Source organism: Homo sapiens, chromosome 13 (assembly GCF_000001405.40).
Source record: "Homo sapiens chromosome 13, GRCh38.p14 Primary Assembly".
In the NCBI taxonomy this organism is placed as follows: domain Eukaryota; kingdom Metazoa; phylum Chordata; class Mammalia; order Primates; family Hominidae; genus Homo; species Homo sapiens.
In genome coordinates this window covers 48695160-48718920 of record NC_000013.11, presented here as the reverse complement: position 1 = coordinate 48718920, position 23761 = coordinate 48695160, and the positions used below count along the sequence as shown (strand labels likewise).

The following is a 23761-nucleotide window of genomic DNA, read 5'->3' as shown; positions in this document are numbered from 1 at the left end:
ATTTAAGTACAACTTTAATAAATAAGCTGGTTTTAAAAATATTGAGAAAAGTAAAATAGAAATGTCTTCAAAATTGTCAGCATACTTTTTTGCCTGGGTTTCCTGATCACACAATTTTATGTTTGTTCTTCTATATATTTTAAAGTGCCATGGTTTGGCATGAAGTTTATAAACCCAGCCAAAACCAGAATGACATTTGTTTGTGTAATTTTTTTATAAATAAGAAACTAATATAATATTGTTGGTTTTGTGGAACCAAAAAAGAGTTCGAAAAGCTGAAGCAACCCTAAGCAAAAGGACAAAGTTGGAGGCATCATATTACCTGATTTTAAATTATAAGGCTACAATAATCAAAACAGCATGGTACTGGTATAAAAATAGACACATAGATCAATGGAACAGAAAAGAGAACCCAGAAATAAAGCCACATATTTGCAGCCAATGGATCTTTGACAAAGACAGCAAGAACATACTTTGGGAAAAGGACACCTTTTTCAATATATGGTTCTGGGATAATTGAATTGTCATATACAGAAGAATGAAACTGGATTCATATCTCTCATCATATACAAAAATAAACTCAAGATGGAGTAAAGACTTAAACATAAAACACCAAACTATACAAATACCAGGAAAAAAAACTAGGGAAAACTCTTCTGGACATTGATCTAGGCAAAAGACCTCAAAAATATGACTAAGACCTCAAAAATACAGGCAAGAAAAACAAAAATAGACAAATGAGACTTAATTAAACTGAAAAGCTTCTGTAGAGCAAAAGAAATAATCAGCAGAGTGAACAGACAACCTGTAGAATGCATCCAACAGGGGACTAATATCCAAACTGTACAAGAATTCAACTCAACAACAACAAAAGATCAAATAATTTTACTGAAAAGTGGTCAAAGATCATGAATAGACATTTTTCCAAAGAAGACATAGAAATAGCCAAGTATATGAAAAAATACTCAATATCACTAATCATCATCAAATGCAAATTAAAACCACAATTAGGCCAGTGTGGAGGCTGACACCTGTAATCCCAGCACTTTGGGAGGCTGATGGATAAAGATTTCTTGGGCGCAGGAGTTCAAGACCAGCTTGGGCAACACAGCAATACCTCATGGCCACAAAAAAGAAAAATAGAAATTTGAGCTTCCCTCATTACTACCTGCCCCTTAAAAAAAGCACACACAACAAAGATATCATCTTATCCCAGTCAGAATTACTATTATTAAAAAAGCAAAAAATAACAAATGTTGGCGAGGATGTGGAGAAAAGAAAACTCTTATACACTGTTGGTGGGAATTTAAATTAGTACAACGTCTATGGAAAACAGTATGAAGGTTCTGCAAAGAACTAAAATAGGATTATCATTCAATCTAACAATCCCACTACTGGATATCTACCAAAAGGAAAATAAATCAGTATATAAAAAACATATCCACATTCATATGTTTATCACAGTGCTATTCACAATAGCAAAAATATGGAATCAACCTGTGTCCACCAATGGTTGACTGGATAAAGAAGATGTGGTATATGTATACAATGGAATCCTATTCAGTCATAAAAAGAATGAAATCATGTCTTTTGCAGCAACATGGATGGAACTAGATTTCACTATCTTAAGTGAAACAAGGTAGACACAGGAAGTCAAATATTGCATGTTCTCAGTCATAAGTAGGTGCTAAAAATGTGTACACATGGACAGAAGAGAGTGGAGATAGACAATGGAGACTCAGAAGGGTGAGAGGGTGGAGGGGGATGGATGATTAGAAATTACTTAATAAGTACAATGCATGTTATTTGGGTAATGGATAACCTAAAAGCCCTGACTTGATCACTATGCAATCTAAGTATGTAACAAAATTGCACATGTACCCCATAAATGTATATAAATTAATAATAATAATAATATTGGCTTAGTGAAAACAGCCAAGTCTTCTGAGTTACCAGGAAAATACCCATATATTTCACTTTAAGGTTCTTATTTAGGTAAACACCTGATATTCACGGACTATAAAATGATTAACAGGGGAATATCTTGTAATGATGACTAGCTTTGTCTAATATTTCAGTTTTTATAAGTAATCTAGGTAAACTATTAAAAACTAAGTAAATTAAATAAATGTAAATGAGATAAATGCTTATAATGACCTTTTCATGTAGTTTAAAATCTTAATGTTATGTTAAATTAAATAATAGATACTCATTAAATGTTTGGGTCATTTCCAATTAAGAAAAACTTATAAGGAAAGGTGTTTTTAAGAAATTATAAAATGTTTCTCATCTATAAAATACTGACATGTGCCAGACAATTCAAGATTGCTTGGTTTCTAGTTTTATACTAAACTTTAAGTTTACTAAGAATAAAAATGCTAATTAATAGATATAATTCTATGCATAAAATGTACCCCCAAAATATGATGTGTTTTTAAGAAGAAAAGTTATAAGAAAGGCATAAAAATGTGCTCTTTATTGAGAAAAATAAAAATTTTGTCTAATTTGTAGATTATTTATGAAATAAGATAAAAAGGAAGCAGTCACTAGGGGAGAGATATGGGAAGAAAGTTATAGATATGAAGATGTAATTTTGGTAAGGAAGGTAGAAAATAAGAGAATAATATTTTATGAGAAAGGATCTTGTATGGTAAATTTTTCTTCTTAAACAAAATGACTGGTTATTTAAGAAAGAGAAAGGATTAGACAAAGCAGAAAGTCCAAGCATGTTATACATGGTTTGTGTAAGTCATAATAAAGTTTGTGAAAAGAGAATTTATAAAATGAATTTTGTATGTGATTAAGTTGGCTATAATTAAAAAAATAACAGTGTTTCTAAATATTGAGCTTTAATATTAAAAATACATTAATACAAAACTAAAAATTTTGATCTCGTATGTTAGAACAAGGTTTTCTTAAAGTATTAATTTGCTCTTTGTAAAATTACAAGAGGTTTTGGTTTTTAATCCTGAAATTTGTTTCTTTTTGAAACTTCTCAAACTTGTACCTCAGAAATTTTAACTTTTATTGTACCTCACTGCACATGATTTGCAGGTCATATATAATTGCCTTCTATTTTTGTCCCCCCTTGAGAAGGTATGTCTTTTTGCTTGGCTGGAATAATAACCATTTCTTTTAACCTTCTCATCAACTCCTGTAACACTTTTTTCTCCCGTTCTACCTTTGCCGCTGTGGCCTAATGCTGAAATGTTTATCTTAAAGGTCTAGAAAAGCAAGGTTTTCCTCCAGTATAACTTGATTTTGGGCTTTTGACTTTTTTTGGTATGTCTAAATTGTTCCATGTAACCGGGGAACTTTCCATGCTGTTACTAAGAGCATGTATTCCCTTGCTCAAGGTACTAGTTTACTTGTTTACATTCTTCTAAAATATAGTGTTTACTCATGACCCTGGACACACTCTTCCTGTGTCTGATTAAATTCAAATACTCTTTTCATCAGATTTGACTTCCAGGTTTTCTAAATGGGCTTCCCATAAGGGGAAGCAATCACACTGTAAGAGGTTTTTCTTTACCTTTTTGGGAACTGGCCTAAAAAACAAAGATTTTATATTCTATCAAGATAATTCCTACATTGTTTTTATTAGGTGTTTGGTTACATAAGAAAACAGAGCTTTAAAAGGATTAAGGTTTTTACATCCATGAAACTTTATGTATTACTTTTGAAACCTTTTGATTATTACTCTGGTTAAAAGAATAACTTATTTTATAATGCCTCATGATTCTGTTTTGATTAAATGTTTTAAATCTTTTGACATCTGAGTCAAGTTCCCCAAGATTAAAATCATAAATTAAGTCTTTTTTGGATGAAAGGATAAGAATTATTTGGTAAATTGTATGAGAGGCATTGTCAAATGATGACACTAGATTTTCTTTCAGTTACATTTATGAGTGTGTTATTGAAATAAATGTTCCAACAATTATATAAATTCATAAAAGTCTGTTTTCAGTAGTAAGTTTGGTTATCTTGTTAAATCTTTTCTAAAGTTATATTTGTATGAATATATTATTAATGTGATAAACTCTAGTCCAAAATTGTTTTTGTGAAAAAAAGGCTTTAATAAATATGGGTACAAAAAGAGAGAAAATAGTACAATTAATTTAAAGAATTCAAATATATGTTGCAGTTTTGTTAAATGGTTATCATATTTTTTTCTGTCTGTAACTCACTTTAATGCTATTAAGTATACACTGCTATGCATAATCTGTAGTATTCTTGTAATAGTCCTATTGAGGTGCTGTGTTAGGCACAGGAAAGGCAATGCCAGAAAAAAAAAAGGATCATACTCATTAGAAAAACAGATGCAACCCAAAGTGTTTTCCAATAAATAGGCAAGTATGCATGTTGGGCCTGATGCTCATTCCTTACAACTGCAACTGAGAAATTAGTGACCTTCTCAGGAAAGAGGCTTTCTAGCTATGTGGGACAATTGATGTTGGTCCTGTAAATGTAACCAAACAGTTGATTTATGAACAAAAGCAGAAACTTGCGGGATCAAATAGCAAATGTAAGAAGCCATGTTTGCTCATTTCTGCTTGCTAGCATAATTTCATAAAGTCCATGGCTCTGTGACAACATGCAGGTCTCTGGATGGGTGCTTTGAAGACAAAACAGCTTAGAGGACACAGCCTCCCATGTCTCCTGCCTGAGTCACTACATTCTTTAAAAGATAAATGACCCTAGTCCTTGCCTTTTCCTACACATAAGATAATGTCTAACAAGGTAATATGGTTTGGCTGTGTCCCCATGAAAATCTCATCTTGATTTGAAACTCGCACAATTCCCACATGTCGTGGGAGGAATCTTTGGTGGGAAGTAATTGAATCATGGGGTGGGTCTTTCCAGTGCTGTTCTCATGATAGTGAATAAGTCTCAGGAGATCTTATGGTTTTAAAAATGGAAGTTTCCCTGCACAAGCTCTCTTCTCTTGTCTGCTGCCATGTGAGACGTGCCTTTCACCTTTCACCATGATTGTGAGGCCTCCCCAGTCATGTGGAACTGTAAGTCCCATAAACCTTTTTCTTTTGTAAATTGCCAAGTCTTGGGTATGTCTTTATTAGCAGCATGAAAATGGACTGGCCAGGCATGGTGGCTCATGCCTGTAATCCCAGCACTTTGGAAGCCCGAGCTGGGTAGATCACCTAAGGTCAGGAGTTTAAGACCAGCCTGGCCAATGTGGTGAAACCCTGTCTCTACTAAAAGTACAAAAACTAGCTGGGTGTAGTGGCAGGCACCTGTAATCCCAGCTACTCAGGAGGCTGAGGCAGGAGAATCGCTTGAACCTGTGAGGTGGAGGTTGCAGTGAGCCGAGATCATGCCATTGCACTCCAGCCTGGGTGACAACAGCAAAACTCCATCTCAAAAAATAAAAAAAAATAAAAGAAAATGGACTAATACACAGGGTTAATAATTATGACTCTGTAATCTATAACCAGGTGCTCTTACACCTAAACATTCATGTGATTCTGCTTTGATATAACTTCTGAGCAAGTTTGATGTGATCTTCTACATACTAAATCTCCATAGTCCATATATAAACTGTGAGCTGAAACACTGTGCTGGAGCAGTCAGACAGAATCTCTCTGAAAAACTTCTCCAGGGTCATAGGCCCAGAATAAATAGAAACTTCTCACCCAGATGGCTCCAAGGCATCATACTTAATATTAAGAACATTAGTTTACATTAATTTATATCAAACTTTAAGCACCTGTCCCATTAAGCTAATGGGAAATTAAGTCTTCGTTGTTACAATGTCTCTCCAATTTGAGAGTAACATGGTGGTTTGTTTTCCCCTAACTTGAAGGTTATGCAAAGATCCTGAAGCCCTACATGAGCCAGCTCATTAGGGAGACTCCTCTGATAGTCAACCACTGTTCCACTGACCTAAGTGTCAGGTTATCCCTGCTGTCACCCCACACTCGGGATGTAGGGGTCTTCAGGGATTGGGGATGGAGGTTCTTGGGTTTAGAATTTAGCCTCCTCAGCACATCATGCAGCTACCCCTTCTGAGGCTTTTCAAACTCCCCAGATAAATTAGCATCTGTGTCCAAGCTATTTATTTAATCTCTCTGTAGATTCTTATGCCAATGCTATACTTTAAGGAAACTTATTAAAGCTTTAAAATATATATTAACATTCTAACAAGTTTTTTTCTCATTATATTTTTCTTGGTGGCTTTTATTAGCCCCAAGCAGCTGCCTTCATCTGCTTGGGGATGAGATGTCTTCAGAGTAAGGATCTTCCATCACCACATCCCTAGAGTTACCCCTGTGCCCACTCCCCACTCTCATTTTCCCTGATTGGGTTTCTATTTTCAAATTCTTTTCCAAACAGAAAAATAAATTCTCTACAGAAAGCCATGTCCTCTCCTAACCCATCTTTGGCCAGTTTGACATAATCTCTACTTCAGAATAAACTGAAAATCAGCTTAATCAAATCCAAAATAAAGAATTTAACACAGTTACAAAATATAATGGCATTTGCTTCTTAGGTCCCCAGTGAGAAAGCACAGTTCCAGTCTCATAATTCCACCAAAGTTTACACAACAAAAATCCTTTCTCCCAGTTGAACAAGGTATGTACTTGCTTGAGGAAATACCCACTCTAACAAAAAGAGCTGTGTCCAAAACCCCAGGACACTTTTGGCTTTTGCTATGGTAAGTAAAGAGTTCCATTTTGTTTCCTCTCCAAGGACATATTTCAACAAATAGGAGGCTTCACTCTGGCTGGAAAAAGGAAAAGTAAGCCATTACATCTCTGTCTCTGTCTGTCTCTCACATACACACACCATAGACATTAATAATTCACAACCCCTCTCTTATGCTCATCCTAAGGACCTTGGTTGCTCTGTTACTCCCAGCTTTATTTGGGCCATTTTGCCCTTGGAAAGTTGTTAAGGTTTCTCATTGACAATTGAAAATCCCTACGACTTCACAACCGAAATTCAAAATTTAACTTTTGCCCTTCTTCCTAGAGCCTGCATTTCCCCCCACCCTCCAAAGCTGCCCGGCTGCCTGCTCAGTTACATGCCACACCCAGCATGGATGCTTAGCTGGTTGGCAGCTCTCTCTCCACCTCATTTGCAGTACATATGTGGCCTCTGCAAGCCCCATTTCACCCCTTTCCCAGATGAGATTTCAGCGGGTTTCACCTCAACTACTTTAGGTGTGTACTGTCATCATCCTCATTCAGAGTAATCCATTCTTCATTAGTTTGCTTTAGAAACAAATAAGGAAGTGTGTAGTCTCAGGCTGCTTGCAGTCAGCTTGTTTCCATGAGAGGATTCACCCATGTGGCAGAGCCAACATCTGGGGAGGAAAGCCCACAGATGTCCTGGTTGAACAAGGCCTGAAGTCCAACTTCCCTCGGTATATTTCAGTTATATGAGATAATCAAATCCCTTTATTATGTAAGCCACTTGGGGTAGGGTTTTCTGTTACTTGCAACTAAAAATATCCCAAGTAACATATCAAAATCTCTCTAACCCCAGAAAGTGACTTTCCTCACCCCAAGAAAGGACTTGCCTCCCATGGCAGGACTAGATGGGCTTCTCTCAAGAACTGAAATACAACTCTGGTCCTTTCCTGCTTTCCTTTCTTCTGTCAATGTTCAGTTTCCATTTCTGATGGGCTTTCTTGTCTTTTTTTGTTTTTGTTTTAAAAAACAACTCAGAATTAGTTTGAATTTTAAAATTTAATTTTAACTTAATTTTTATTTTACTTCAGAAATACATATTCACAAGTTAGGCAATTACACAGTTCGTAAAATAAGTCCCCACCCTATCCTCCCACCCCAGCTTCTCCATAGAGGTAACCCCTGCCCATTCTTTCTTCTGCTTCTACCTGTATTTACCTCCTATTGCTAAATAATATGGTTGTACAGCTATTCATCATTTTCCAGATTTAGTTATTATGCATTTTCTGTGATAGAATATGGCAACCTAGGTCTCTTATACCTCTCCCACACACGTACACATCTTCTCCCTTCATTTCCTGAAAAAAAGGTTATATCACAGTATTTCACTCCAGCAGCACCCCCTTATCTGTGGGAGTTGCATTCCAAGACCCTGAATACGAATAGCACCAAACCCAAATAGTACCAAACCCGATTGCTGTCAATTGGAACACATTTCTGTTCATGTCTTCCACCCACAAATTTAATACCTTTTCATCTTAACTAAGTGTTTATCACACACCGTGGGGTGTAATAAATAATTTTTGCAGCTTGTGGTGCAACAGCAAAACTAGCACAAATTTCTTTTGCCTTCTTCACAATTTTACAGATGGATTTGTTCTTACTGTAGATCTTAGCAACTTCAGCATGTGTTTTTTTTCTTTCCTTATTAAGTCAAGAACTTTCACATTTTCTGTTAGAGGAAGCACTTTACAGCTTCTCTTTGGTGTATCTTATTTGCCAGCATCACTACTCTTATGCTTTGGGGACATTAGTAAGTAAAATAAGAGTGACTTTAACACAAGCACTGTTATACCACAACAGTTGATCTGAGCAACTGGATGATGACTAAGTGACTCATGGGTGGGTAGCATATACATTGTGGATCCACTGGAGAAATCTCACACCATCCCACTTTGCCCTGCCCAGAACATGGGTGGAGGGTGATAGTGCGAGATTTCAACATGCTACTCAAAACAGCACATGTTTTAAAACTTAAGAATTATTTCTGGAATTTTCCATTTAATATTTTCAGACTGGCTGGCTGTAACTGAACTGCAGAAAGCAAAACCACAGATAATGGGAGACTATTATATTCACATTATCCTCTATGTAAATATTATTCACAGCTGAGCCATGTAGTGTACTGTGGTTATATTTCCTCTCTAATACAAAAGTTTCTTTTCCTCTAGCACTTAAAAACTGTATTGCGTTTTTACTTGCTTATTTTTCTATGTATTTACGACTAGTTTATCTCAATCTCTGCAAGAGAAATCTAAATCCCTCTCAATGTGTATGAATCAATTAATTTCTTCTTTTTCTGGGAGACATCTCTCCTAGAGTCCTTTAAGAGTCCTGCTCCAACATGAATGACTTGCTTTCTAAGCCTGCTACACACCAACATCCTGGGAATTCTCTTCACTTTCTCCTGCGTTGGATTCCTTGTTTCCCAGCTACTGTGTTTTCCTCTATCTTGGTTTAATCTCTTATTTTGGAGGATCTTTTATACTCAAAAGGTCTCTATCTACTCTCACATTTATTTGTTGGTGCCTTTCATGTTACGGCCTTTCCCTCAAATGTATTGTGTTCATTGACTACTTTTCATAATTAAGAATGAGGCTCTGACAGGTTGACCAAATGCTGTGAGTGGAAGGGATTTGTTGCATTGTGGGCTTCATCGTCAGGTGAGTAATAGGGCAGACACGCAGCTTTTGTGTTGAAGGATCCTCAACTATTTGTATCTGTCAGCCTTTTTTTCAGATTATGCAGTTTCCCCATAGGAGGATCCTCCAGGGTCCTGTCTTGACAGGGTTTGAGTCTGTCTGTCATCATTCTGGTAGCTAAATAAGGAAAGGGTACTGGGATTTTTGTTTAGTATGATGACTGACTTAGTCCCTCCCTACTTTCAGAATGCCATATCACCTCCACCCTTTACTGTACTATGAGTCAACAACTCTGAAGAGAAACTTTTGGTTTTCTTGTGAGAGTGAGGAGGGGGAGGAAATTGGTAGGAAAGGACAGCTTTTATTCAGACTTTCAACCAATCTTCCTGGAAGTTTACAAGGGTAGTGGTGGGGAGAGCACCCAGCCAACACTTCTGCACAGAGATTTTTAAAACTCTTACTAGCTGTGTAAACTTAAACAAGCTTCTTAATTTCTCTAAGCTTCAATTTCTTCAGCTGTAAAATGGAACTCAGAGCTTTGGTGTGAATGTCAAATGGGATCAACAAATGTAAAGTGCCTGGCATAATCTGCCCTGCAGGGAGACTGCATTCAATTGTTGTCAGTACAATGGTCATGGTGATAGTAGTTGGTAGTATCCTTAGCCTTGTTTCAGTGGACAGAAAGGAACCTCTCACACTATCTAGTGTTTTTCTACACTATCTCAAAAGGGAAGGCAGCATCTCCCTACTCATCTTCTGCGGAAATGTTAATAGAATTTCAGGAGTGCAACAACTTTTGCTATTTGCCCTCTACTCCATCTTTCCCTTGAGTGCTCAACCCTAATCCTCAGAGGCACCTCTTTTATTTTTGGCTTCCATCCCAATGAATTAATGGGAAGGAGAACTGCAGCAAGGTCAACTAACCTGCATCTCAAAGAAAATTTGAGATACATGTCCTTGATGATCCCCCTTCCATTCTATACACAATTCTTTCATTTCCTAGGGCAATGCCCCAGATCCTCCTCCTACTTTTCCTGTCCTTCCTAATACCCTGGCAAGAGAGAAACAGTAGAAATAGGGTTGCCTTCAGTGTGTTAGAACCTCTCTCCCAATGCAAAATGAAATTCTTCCTTCCCCTACTTATTGCCAGTTCTCTTTTGCTCCAATCCTTCTCCCCCTTTTCTCTCACTGTCCTTACTTGGGACTTGATGCTGCTTTGTTATAGGACAGCCTTCCTTTTCACAGTTAGTCTTTCCCTGAATCTTAGGATGTGCTTCTTTTCTGCTCTGGGGCTTCCAGTAGCGTCGTTAGTTGGCTATATCTCAAGGGATTGAAGAGGACAGGGGAGCTGGAGAAGCTGGGGAAGTTGTGGCTCTTTTGAAGAATTTAGAAAGCCTGATGGGCCAGAGATCTGGTTCAATATCTGAAGAAAAGTAGGATCCAATGTGCTTTGCATTTTTTCCCAGTCTGATATTTCAGCCCACAGGACTCTAGTAGGGATTTTTCCTCCTGTATCCCTCATTAAGACTCAACAACTGAAAATACACTGAATAAAATTTTTGAAGTAGGTCTTATTAACAAAAGTAATGGTCAACTAAATATTAAGAATCAACATTTGTTGGGAGTGATGTAAATACAAAGTCATTTGGAGACTATGAGTGAATGAAGATGGACACAAGGATACAAGAACAGGTCTCATCTAAGAGCTCCTTATACTCTTGTTTCCTTTCTCAACCACACACTAACAGGGAAAACACACTTTGTCTTTGCCTTCTGTGGATGGCCTTTTCTGAGTGCAGACTTTAGTCTGTCCTTAAAATTCTCCCCAGCAAAGTAATAGAGCAGAGGATTGAAGCAGGCATTGGCTGCTGCCAAGGCCAGTGTGATAACCAAAGCTTTATGCAGTCTGTCTTTGCATAAACCCACTTTCCATGTCGTCAAGTGGACGGTCCTCAGTGTGTGATAGGGCAGGAAACACAAGAAGAAGATGATCAAGGTGATGATGATGGTGGTCAGTGCCTTCCTGTGAGAAACCCGCAGCCCCGATTCTGGGACCTCCACTTTTAACAGAACCCGAATGATCAGCAGATAACAGATGCTGAGTGTGAAAAATGGCAGCAGGCAGCCCACCACCAAGGCAATATAGTTCATGGTCTGCAGCTTAGCAATTTTATAGAGATTCAGCTCTAAGCATGATGTGACACTGCCGTTCTGCTCAGAGCCACTGTCCAGGAGCATTATTGAGGAAGCCATGATAAGGATCCATATGATCCCACAGAGGATCCAGGCACTCCTGATGCTGGTGACATGCAGAAGCCGAAAGGGGTGAACCATTGCCAGGAAACGCACAACACTCAGCACGGTCAGGAAATAAATACTGCTGTACATGTTGACATACAAGGAATAAGACATAATCCTGCAGGCCAGGTCTCCAAATATCCAATTGGAGCCTCTAAGATAATAGTCAGCCCTGAAGGGAAGCGTGCTTATGAACAGGAGATCTGAAATGGCCAGATTTAGCATGAAAACGTTCACAGATGTGGACTTCTTATAAGGCTGCAGGAAAACATATATGGACAACCCATTTCCCAAGACTCCCCAGAAAAATATTATCAGATATACAATTGGGAAAAATTCTCTCTTGAAGTTTTCAATTGTGCAGTTCCTGCTGTTGTTATTGCTGAAGGTGCCATTTGGTTCCATTTCTGATACGGAGATGGATGGTTGCAAGGACATAAATTTTCTCTCCATGCTGGGTTAAAAAGAAACAGACACAAAAAGTTACTTTGTGAATTTCCCTTTTTCCTTCTTGCTTACTGATTACATCTCTCTAGGTTTTAATGAAACAGGGAGCAATACTATCTTTTCTTTGAAAGTTGAGTTTTAAAACACTGGTTAAGTCTTTACTACATGCTGCATTACATTTCATAATAAATTTAAATTTCCTGATTTTTGAATGTAGAATAGCCATTAATTTGTTTGGTTGAAGCTGACGCTTCAAACTTAGAGAACTTGTGACCTACTGACCCTGTTGACATGAATACCTTACTATGATATTGCAGCCTAAAACTACTGAATAGCAGATTTCTCATCAGAAACTATGGAGGACAGAAAGAAATGGCACATTTCTCAAATGCTGAAAGAAAAGACCTGCCAAACTAGTATTCTATGTCCAGCAAAAATATCCTTCAAGTACAAAGAGAAAAATCAAGACTTTTTCAGACGGAAAACTAAGACTTTGCTGCCAGCAGACCTATCTTAAAAGAATGACTAGGCTGGGTTTGGTGGCTCACGCCCGTAATCCCAGCAGTTTGGGAAGCTGAGGCTGGCAGATCACCTGAGGTCAGGAGTTCAAGACCAGTCTGGCCAACATGGTGAAACTCCGTCTCTACTAAAAATACAAAAATTAGCGGGCCCAGTGGCAGGCACCTGTCACCTCTGCTACCCGGGAGGCTGAGGCAGGAGAATTGCCTGAACCTGGGAGGCAGAAGTTGCAATGAGCCGAGATCATGCCATTGCACTCCAGCTGGGGCAACAAGAGCGAAACTCCATCTCAAAAAAAAAAAAAACAACAACAAAACAAAACAAAAAACAAACAAACAAAGAATGACTAAAGGAAGTTCTCTAAACAGAAAGGAATTTATAAAAGAAGGAAACTTAGAATATTAGAAAATAAGAAAGAACATGGTAAGCCAAAATATGTGTAAATACAATAGGCTGTCCTTCCCTTTTAGAGTCTAAGTTACATTTAATGTTTTGAAACAAAAACATTAATGCTGCCTGATGTGGTTTTAAATGGATGTAGAGGAATTATTGAGATAGTTATATTATAAATGAGGGAAGGCAAAGAGACATAAGAGGAAATAAGAAGTTTTCTATACTTCACTTGAACTGGTAGAATGATGATGCTAATAGACTATCATAAGATATATATATATGTATATCTTTATATACATATATATTATATATATAGAGAGAAATACCTAGAGCTTCCACTAAAATGATATACAAAGGGATACACTCAAAAACATTACAGATAAATAAAAATGGAATTCTAAAAAGTGTTCAGATAACCAACAACAAGGCAGGAAAAAGAAAACAGATAATAAAAACAGAAAAAAAATAAAATGGCAGACATCCCTCATTCATCAATAATTACATTAAATATAAGTAGTCTAAATATACCAATTAAAAGATAGAGGAATGGAATATATTTTTTAAATGACCGAATTATGTACCGCCTATAACAAACACTTCAAATAGCAGTATTGGCTGGTTGAAAGTAAAAGGATGGAAAAATGCATGTTATTCAAATCAAAGGAAATAAGGAATGGCTCTTTCAGTATTAACTAAAATGGACTTCAAAGCAAATGACATTGCCAGAGACAGTGAGGGACACTATATAAAAATAACAGGGTTTAACCACTAAGAAGACGTACCAATTCTAAATGGGTATGCGCCAAACAACAGAGTTGCAAAACTGAAGCAAAACTGATAAAACTGAAAGGAGAGATATTTAGTGACTTCAAGGACCTCTCTCAGCAATTGATGAAGCAAATAGACAAAAACTCAGCAAAGGTATAGAAAAACTAAAAACACCATCAACCAACAGGATCAAATTGACATGTATAAAACACTTCACCCAACAAAAGCAGAATACTTATGCTTTTATGTGTTCACAAAACTTATACCAAGATAAACCACATCCTGGGACATAAAACAAACCTCGATAGATTTCAAATAATTGAAATAATATAGAATGTGTTCTCTAACTACAAGGGAATCAAACTAGAAATCAACAGCAGCAAGATAACAGGAAACCCTCAAAACACTTGAAAACTAAACAACACACTTCTGAATAATCCATGGGTCAAAAAGGAAATCTCAAGGGAAACAAAAAATATATTAAACTGAATAAAAGTGAAAATATAAATTTGTGAGATGTAGCAAATGCAGTATTAGGACAAAACTGTATAACACTAAATTCATACATTACAAAAAGGAAAAGTCACGAAATAAGAATATAAGCTCCATCCTCAAGAAAAAAAAAAAGCAAGCAAAAGGAAGGAGATAGTAAAGAGCAGAAATCAAGAAATTGAAAACAGAAAAAAATAGAGAAAAAAATGAAATGAAAAACTGGTTATTTGAAAAAAGTCAATACAATCGATTGCAGGTGCATGCCACCATGCCCAGCTATTTTTTCTTTTTTGTAGAGATGCTGTATCTCCATGTTGCACAGGCTGGTCTTGAACTTCTGAGCTCAAGTGATCCTCCCACCTTGGCCTTCAAACCGTGAGATTATAGGCGTGGGCCACCATGCCTGGCCAGGTAACTTTCTTATAGTAGCAGAATAGACAAAGTCAATAATGAATTAAAATTTGCATATATTAAATAAAATGTTACATCTCCTGATACAATTGACAAATCTCTAGCAAGAGGTACGAAAAAAAAGTAGAACAGACATAAATTTCCATTGTCAGGAATAAAACAGGAGATAACACTATCGATAGATACCTGAGGCATCAAAAGGATAATGAGAAAATGCTTTGAATAACCCTACAAACATAAGTTTCACAACTTAGAGGAACTAGACTAATTCCTCATAAAATGAAAAATAACTCACCGAACATTAAATAGATAATTTGAATATCCCCATAACTATTAAGGAAATTAAATTCTCAATTGAAAAACTCTCAAAAAAGAAACCTCCAGATCCAGATGGCTTCACTGGAGAATTCTGCCAACTATTTAAATAAGAATTAACACCAATTCCATACAGTGTCTTCCAGAAAATAGAAGAGAAAGGTATTTCCCAATTTATTTTATTGAAGCTAAGTATTACCCTGATACCAAAACGAGGCAAAGTTAATACAGAACAAAACAAAAGACTATGGATGAATATCCCCTGTGAATGTAGGTGCAAAATACTCTTAGCAAAATACCATCAAATAAAATTTAGCAATATATGAAAAGAATTATACCATGACCAAGTAATCATATCAATTAATATTTTTAAAAGTGCATGACAAAATTCAATATCCATTCACAATCAAAACTCTCAGAAATATAGCAGTAAAGAGGAACTTCCTCAACTTGATAAAGAGCATATACAAAAAACCTACAGATAACATTATACTTCATAGTAAAAGACTGAGTGTCTCCCCCATAAGATCAGGAGCAATGCAAGGATGCCCATTCTCACTGTCTTATTCAACATAGTGCTATAAGTTCTAACCAGTGAAATGAGGCAAAAACACAAAAAGGAAATAAATATCATATAGATTAGAAAGGAAGAGATAAAATGCTTCCTATCTGTAGATGACATAGTTACATAGAAAACCCCAAGAGACCTACAAACATACACATACGTGCACACACACAAAGAAAACAAAAATCTCATAGAGCTAATAAGTGAATTTAACAAAGTGGCAGAATACAAAATAAACAGAAAATATATTATATTTTATAAACTAGTAATACACATATGAGCACACTGGAGTTAAAATGCAATACTATTTATATTCAATAAAAATTAAAATGAAAGACAGGTGTAAATCTCACAAGACATGTACAGGACTTGCATGCTGAAAACTACAAATTATTGGTGAAAGAAATCAAAGTTTTAAAGAAATGGAGAAACATGCCATGTCATAGATTAGAAGACAATGGAATAAAGATGTCAATTCTCCCCAGATTTATATACAAAATTATGAAATTCCCAGTAAAATCCTTGTAAGTTTTTTTGTAGATATAGATAGGATTATTCTAAATCTTAAATGACAAGGCAGAGGAACTAGAACAGCAAAAACACTTTGAAAAAGAAGATTGAAGTGGGAAGAATCAGTCCATCTAATTTCAAGACTTATTTTATAGTTAAAGTAATTAAGAATGTATGGTATTGGCTGAAGGACAAACAGATAGATCAACAGAAAAGAATAGAAACCCAGAAACAGACCCACATAACTATGCCCAACTTAATTGTTTACAGAAGTGCAAAAACAATACAGTGGAGGAAAGATAGGCTTTTCAGAGGCACTGGAGCAATTGGATAGCCATAGGCAAAAAAACAAACCTTGAACTAAATCTCACACCTTATACAAAAATTAACTAAAATGCAGCATGGACTTCATGTAGAATGTAAAGTTTTTATTATTATTATTATTTTACTTTAAGTTCTAGGGTACGTGTGCACAACGTGCAGTTTTGTTACATATGTATACATGTGCCATGTTGGTGTGCTGCACCCATTAACTACTCATTTACATTAGGTATATCTCCTAATGCTATCCCTCCCCCTCCCCCCACCCCATGACAGACGCCGGTGTGTGATGTTCCCCACCCTGTGTCCAAGTGTTCTCATTGTTCAATTCCCACCTATGAGTGAGAACATGCAGTGTTTGGTTTTCTGTCCTTGCGATAGTTTGCTCAGAATGATGGTTTCCAGGTCATTCATGTCCCTACAAAGGACATGAACTCATCCTTTTTTATGGCTGCATAGTATTCCATGGTGTATATGTGTCACATTTTCTTAATCCAGTCTATCATTGATGGACATTTGGGTTGGTTCCAAGTCTTTGCTATTGTGAATAGTGCCACAATAAACATACGTGTGCATGTGTCTCTATAGTAGCATGATTTATAATCCTTTGGGTATATGCCCAGTAATGGGATGGCTGGGTCAAATGGTATTTCTAGTTCTAGATCCTTGAGGAATTGGCACACTCTCTTCCACAATGGTTGAACTAGTTTACAGTCCCACCAACAGTGTAAAAGCGTTCCTATTTCTCCACATCCTCTCCAGTACCTGTTGTTTCCTGACTTTTTAATGATTGCCATTCTAACTGGTGTGAGATGGTATCTCATTGTGGTTTTGATTTGCATTCCTCTGATGGCCAGTGATGATGAGCATTTTTTCATGTGTCTGTTGGTTGCATAAATGTCTTCTTTTGAGAAGTGTCTGTTCATATCCTTTGCCCACTTTTTGATGGGGTTGTTTGATTTTTCTTGTAAATTTGTTTAAGTTCTTTGTAGCTTCTGGATATTAGCCAGATTTTAGGTTTTACATTTAAGTCTTTGATCTTTCTTGAATTAATTTTTGTGTAAGGTGTAAGGAAGAGATCCAGTTTCAGCTTTCTACATATGGCTAGCCAGTTTTCCCAGCACCATTTATTAAATAGGGAATCCTTTCCCCATTGCTTGTTTTTGTCAGGTTTGTCAAAGTTGAGATGCTTGTAGATGTATGGTATTACTTCTGGAGGCTCTATTCTGTTCCATTGGTCTATATCTCTGTTTTGGTACCAGTACCGTGATGTTTTGGTTACTGTAGCCTTGTAGTATAGCTTGAAGTCAGGTAGCATGATGCCTCCAGCCTTGTTCTTTCGGCTTAGGATTGTCTTGGCAATGCGGGCTCTTTTTTGGTTCCATTTGAACTTTAAAGTAGTTTTTTCCAATTCTGTGAAGAAAGTCATTGGTAGCTTGATGGGGATGGCATTGATCTATAAATTACCTTGGGCAGTATGGCCATTTTCACAATATTGAATGTTCTTCCATTTGTTTGTGTCCTCTTTTATTTCATTGAGCAGTGGTTTGTAGTTCTCCTTGAAGAGGCCCTTCACATCCCTTGTAAGTTGGATTCCTAGGTATTTTATTCTCTTTGAAGCAATTGTGAATGGGAGTTCATTCATGATTTGGCTCTTTGTTTGTCTGTTATTAGCATATAGGAATGCTTGTGATTTTTGCACTTGATTTTGTGTCCTGAGACTTTGCTGAAGTTGCTTATCAGCTTAAGGAGATTTTGGGCTGAGACGATGGGGTTTTCTAAATGTCATCTGCAAACAGTGACAATTTGACTTCCTCTTTTCCTAATTTAATACCCTTTATTTCTTTCTCTTGCCTGATTGCCCTGGCCAGAACGTCCAACACTATGTTGAATAGGAGTGGTGAGAGAGGGCATCCCTGTCTTGTGCCAGTTTTCAAAGGGAATGCTTCCAATTTTTGCCCATTCAGTATGATATTGGCTGTGGGTTTGTCATAAATAGCTCTTATTATTTTGAGATACGTCCAAATACCTAGTTTATTGACACTTTTTAGCATGAAGGGTTGTTGAATTTTGTTGAAGGCCTTTTCTGCATCTATGGAGATAATCATGTGGTTTTTGTCTTTGGTTCTGTTTACATGATGGATTACGTTTATTGATTTGCATATGTTGAACCAGCCTTGCATCCCAGGGATGAAGCCAACTTGATCGTGGTGGATAAGCTTTTTGATGTGCTGCTGGATTTGGTTTGCCAGTATTTTATTTAGGATTTTTGCATCAATGTTCATGAAGGACATCAGTCTAAAATTCTCTTTTGTTGTTGTGTCTCTGCCAGGCTTTGGTATCAGGATGATGTTGGCCTCATAAAATGAATTAGGGAGGATTCCCTCTTTTTCTATTGATTGGAATAGTTTCAGAAGGAATGGTACCAGCTCCTCTTTGTACCTCTGGTAGAATTCGGCTGTGAATCCATCTGGTCCTGGACTTTTTTTGGTTGGTAGGATATTAATTATTCCCTCAATTTCAGAACCTGTTATTGGTCTATTCAGGGATTCAACTTCTTTCTGATTTAGTCTTGGGAGGGTATATGTGTCCAGGAATTTATCCATTTCTTCTAGATTTTCTAGTTTATTTGCTTAGAGGTGTGTATAGTATTCTCTGATGGTAGTTTGTATTTCTGTTGGATCAGTGGTGATATCCCCTTTATTATTTTTTATTGCATCTATTTGATTCTTCTCTCTTTTCTTCTTTATTAGTCTTGCTAGCAGTCTATCAATTTTGTTGATCTTTTCAAAAAGCCAGCTCCTGGATTCATTGATTTTTTTTAAGGGTTTTTGTGTCTCTATTTCCTTCAGTTTTACTTTGATCTTAGTTATTTCTTGCCTTCTGCTAGCTTTTGAATGTGTTTGCTCTTGCATCTCTAGTTCTTTTAATTGTGATGTTAGGGTGTAAATTTTAGATCTTTCCTGCCTTCTCTTGTGTGCATTTAGTGCTATAAATTTCCCTCTACACACTGCTTTAAATTGTCCCAGAGATTCTGGTGTGTTGTGTCTTTGCTCTCATTGGTTTCAAAGAACATCTTTATTTCTGCCTTCATTTTGTTATGTACCCAGTAGTCATTCAGGAACAGATTGTTCAGTTTCCACGTAGTTGCGAAGTTTTGAGTAAGTTTAACCCTGAATTCTAGTTTGATTGCACTGTGGTCTGAGAGACAGTTTGTTATAATTTCTGTTCTTTTATATTTGCTGAGGAGTGCTTTACTTCCAACTATGTGGTAAACTTTGGAATAAGTGTGATGTGGTGCTGAGAAGAATGTATATTCTGTTGACTTGGGGTGGAGAGTTCTGTAGATGTCTATTAGGTTCACTTTGCGCAGAGCTGAGTTCAACTCCTGGATATCCTGGTTAACTTTCTGTCTTGTTGATCTGTCTAATGTTGACAGTGGGGTGTTAAAGTCTCCCATTATTATTGTGTGGGAGTCTAAGTCTCTTTGTAGGTCTCTAAGGACTTGCTTTATGAATCTGGGTGCTCCTGTATTGGGTGCATATATATTTAGGATAGTTAGCTCTTCTTGTTGAGTCGATCCCTTTACCATTATGTAGCAGCCTTCTTTGTCTCTTTTGATCTTTGTTGGTTTAAAGTCTGCTTTATCAGAGACTAGGATTGCAACCCCTGCTTTTTTTTGTTTTCCATTTGCTTGGTAGATCTTCCTCCATCCCTTTATTTTGAGCCTATGTGTGTTTCTGCATGTGAGGTGGGTCTCCTGAATACAGCACGCTGATGGGTCTTGACTCTTTATCTGATTTGCCAGTCTGTGTCTTTTAATTAGAGCACTTAGCCCATTTACATTTGAGGTTAATATTGTTATGTGTGAATTTGATCTTGTTATTATGATGTTAGCTGGTTATTTTGCTTGTTAGTTGATGCAGTTTCTTCCTAGCATTGATGGTCTTTACAATTTGGCATGTTTTTGCAGTGGCTGGAACTGGTTGTTCCTTTCCATGTTTAGTGCTTCCTTCAGGAGCTCTTGTAAGGCAGGCTTGGTGGTGACAAAATCTCTCAGCATTTGCTTGTCTGTAAAGGATTTTATTTCTCCTTCACTTATGAAGCTTAGTTTGGCTGGATATGAAATTCTGGGTTGAAAATTCTTTTCTTTAAGAATGTTGAAAATTGGCCCCCACTCTCTTCTGGCTTGTAGAGTTTCTGCCAAGGGATCTGCTGTTAGTCTGATGGGCTTCCCTTTGTGGGTAACCCTACCTTTCTCTCTGGGTGCCTTTAACATTTTTTCCTTCATTTCAACTTTGGTGAATCTGACAATTATGTGTCTTGGAGTTGCTCTTCTCGAGGAGTATCTTAGTGGTGTTCTCTGTATTTCCTGAATTTCAATGTTGGCCTGCCTCGCTAGGTTGGGGAAGTTCTCCTGGATAATATCCTGAAGAGTGTTTTCCAACTTGGTTCCATTCTCCCCGTCACTTGCAGGTACACCAATCAGACGTAGTTTTGGTCTTTTCACATAGTCCTCCCATATTTCTTGGAGGCTTTTTTCATTTCTTTTTACTTTTTTCTCTCTATGCTTCTCTTCTTGCTTCATTTCACTCATTTGATCTTAAATCACTGATAACCTTTCTTCCACTTGATCAAATCAGCTACTGAAGCTTGTGCATGCGTCACATAGTTCTTGTGCTGTGGTTTTCAGCTCCATCAGGTCATTTAAGGACTTCTCTACACAGTTTATTCTAGTTAGCTATTTGTCTAATCTTTTTTCAAGGTTTTTAGCTTCTTTGTGATGGGTTAGAACATCCTCCTTTAACTTGGAGAAGTTTGTTATTACCAATGGTCTAAAGCCTTCTTCTCTCAACTCTTCAAAGTCATTCTCCGTCCAGCTTTGTTCCGTTGCTGGCAAGGAGCTGCATTCCTTTGGAGGAGAAGAGGCGCTCTGATTTTTAGAATTTTCAGCTTTTCTGCTCTGGTTTCTCCCCATCTTTGTGGTTTTATCTACCTTTGGTCTTTTATGATGGTGACGTACAGATGGGGTATTGGTGTGGATGTCCTTTCTGTTTGTTAGTTTTCCTTCTAACAGTCAGGACCCTCAGCTGCAGGTCTGTTGGAATTTGCTGGAGGTCCACTCCAGACCCTGTTTGCCTGAGTATCACCAGTGGAAGCGGCAGAACAGCAAATATAGAAGAACGGCAAATGTTGCTGCCTGATCCTTCCTCTGGAAGCTTCATCTCAGAGGGTCACCCAGCTGTATGAGGTGTCAGTCGGCCCCTACTGGGAGGTTTTTCCCAGTTAGGCTACTCGGGGGTCAGGGACCCACTTGAGGAGGCAGTCTGTCCATTCTCAGATCTCAAACTCCGTGCTGGGAGAAGTACTACTCTCTTCAAAGCTGTCAGACAGGGACGTTTAAGTCTGCAGAAGTTTCTGCTGCCTTTTGTTCAGCTATGCCCTGCCCCCAGAGGTGGAGTCTACAAAGGCAGACAGGCCTCCTTGAGCTGTGGTGGGCTCCACCCAGTTAGAGCTTCCCAACTGCTTTGTTTACCTACTCAAGCCTCAGCAATGGTGGATGCCCCTCCCCAAGCCTGGCTGCCACCTTGCAGTTCAATCTCAGACTGTTATGCTAGCAGTGAGCGAGGCTCCGTGGGCGTGGGACCCTCCGAGCCGGGCGTGGGACCCTCCGAGCCATGTGCGGGATATAATCTCCTGGTGTGCCGTTTGCTAAGGCAGTTGGAAAAGCACAGTATTAGGGTGGGAGTGTCCCAATTTTCCAGGTACCATCTGTCATGGCTTCCCTTTGCTAGGAAAGGGAATTCCCTGACCCCTTGTGCTTCCTGGGTGACGCGATGCTCCGCCCTGCTCCATGGGCTGCACCCACTGTCTGACAAGCCCCAGTGAGATGAACCCAGTACCTCAGTTGGAAATGCAGAAATCACCCGTCTTCCACGTTGCTCACACTGGGATCTGCAGATTGGAGCTCTTCCTATTCAGCCATCTTGGAACCTAGTTTTCCCTAGAATGTAAAATTATAAAATTTTTAGGAAAAAAATTTTTGGGATCTAGGACTGACAAAGAGTTCTTAGAATTGACACCAAAAACATGATCCATAAAAGAAAAAATTGATAAATTGGAGCTTGTCAAGATGATAAATTTTTGCTCCACAAAATACTCTGCTAAGAGGATGAAAATACAAGCTACAGACTGGGAGAGAATATTTGCAAATCACTTATCAAAACAGGGTTATTTAGAATATATAAAGAACTCTTGAATATCAACAGTAAAACAAGCAAACAAATGAAAAACTCCAATTAGAAAATGTGCAAAAGATAGAAACAAACATTTCAGGGGATATACAGATAGCATATAAGCACATAAAAAATTGTTCAACATTGTTGGTCATTAGGGAAATGCAAATTAAAACCACAGTGAGGTATTACTACATACTTATTAGAATGGCTAAATAAAACATAGCGACTACATCAAATACAGAGAAACTGGATCACTCAGACATTGCTGGTGAGAGTGTAAAATGATACGGTCATTCTGGAAAACAATTTGGCTGTTTCCTAAAAAACTATACATGCAACTACCATGCATTCCAGTAATTATACTCCTGGGCATTTATCCCAGGGAAATGAAAACATATGGTTACATAAAAACCTATAAGTCAGTGATTACTGCAGTTTTATTTGTAATAGCCCCAAACTGGAAATAACTCAGATAGCCTTCAATAGTTAAACAGTGGTACATGCATACCATGGAATTCTGCTCAGCAATGAAAGGAGTGAACCATTAATACATTTGGTAACTTGAATAAATCTCTAGGGAGCTATGCTATGTGAAAATAAAAACTAATCATACAGAGTGATCCCATTTATATAACATCCTTGAATGACAAAATTATAGAAATGGAGAACACAGATTTGTAATTGCCGGGGATTAAGAATGTGGTGGGGGTTGGAGGGAAGTAGAGGTAGCTAAAGAGTGGAGTTTGAGGCATCCTTATGGTGACAAAAATGTTCTACATCATAACTGTATTAATGTCAATATTTGGGCTGTGCAGGAGTTTGAGATGAGCCTAGGCAACATAGTGAGACCTGAGACCCTATCTCTATGAGAGAGAGAGAGAGAAAGAGAGAGAGAGAGAAAGAAAGAAAGAAAGAATAAAGAGAAAGGAAAAAGAAAGGGAAAGAAAGAGAAAAAAGAGAAAGAAAAGAAAAAGAGAGAGAAAGAAAGAAGAAAGAGAAGAAGGAAAGAAGGAAAAAAAGAAAAGGAAAAAAAAAGAAAATGAAAAAGATTAGCTGGGCGTGGTGGCGCATGCCTGTAGTCCCAGCTCCTCAGGAGGCTGAGATGAGAGGATCATTTGAACCCAGGAGATC

The 23761-nt window shown here is 37.5% G+C and overlaps 1 protein-coding gene across 11 annotated transcripts in view; it reads right to left on the bottom strand.

Annotated features, from left to right (window-relative positions):
• The window catches only part of CYSLTR2 (cysteinyl leukotriene receptor 2), a 57298-nt gene continuing 41231 nt past the window's right edge, over positions 7695 to 23761 (bottom strand). For 9 of the 11 annotated variants that reach the window (NM_001308465.3, NM_001308476.3, NM_001308468.3 and 6 more), the window contains 2 exons: positions 22295 to 22395; positions 7695 to 12104 (listed from right to left, as the gene is read on the bottom strand). In NM_001308465.3, the coding sequence (NP_001295394.1) occupies positions 11063 to 12103 (1041 nt within the window). In that variant the 5' untranslated portion in view covers position 12104; positions 22295 to 22395 and the 3' untranslated portion in view covers positions 7695 to 11062. The remainder of the gene's footprint in view (positions 12105 to 22294; positions 22396 to 23761) is intronic. The other 2 variants (NM_001387012.1, NM_001308471.3) reach the window with 1 other exon arrangement.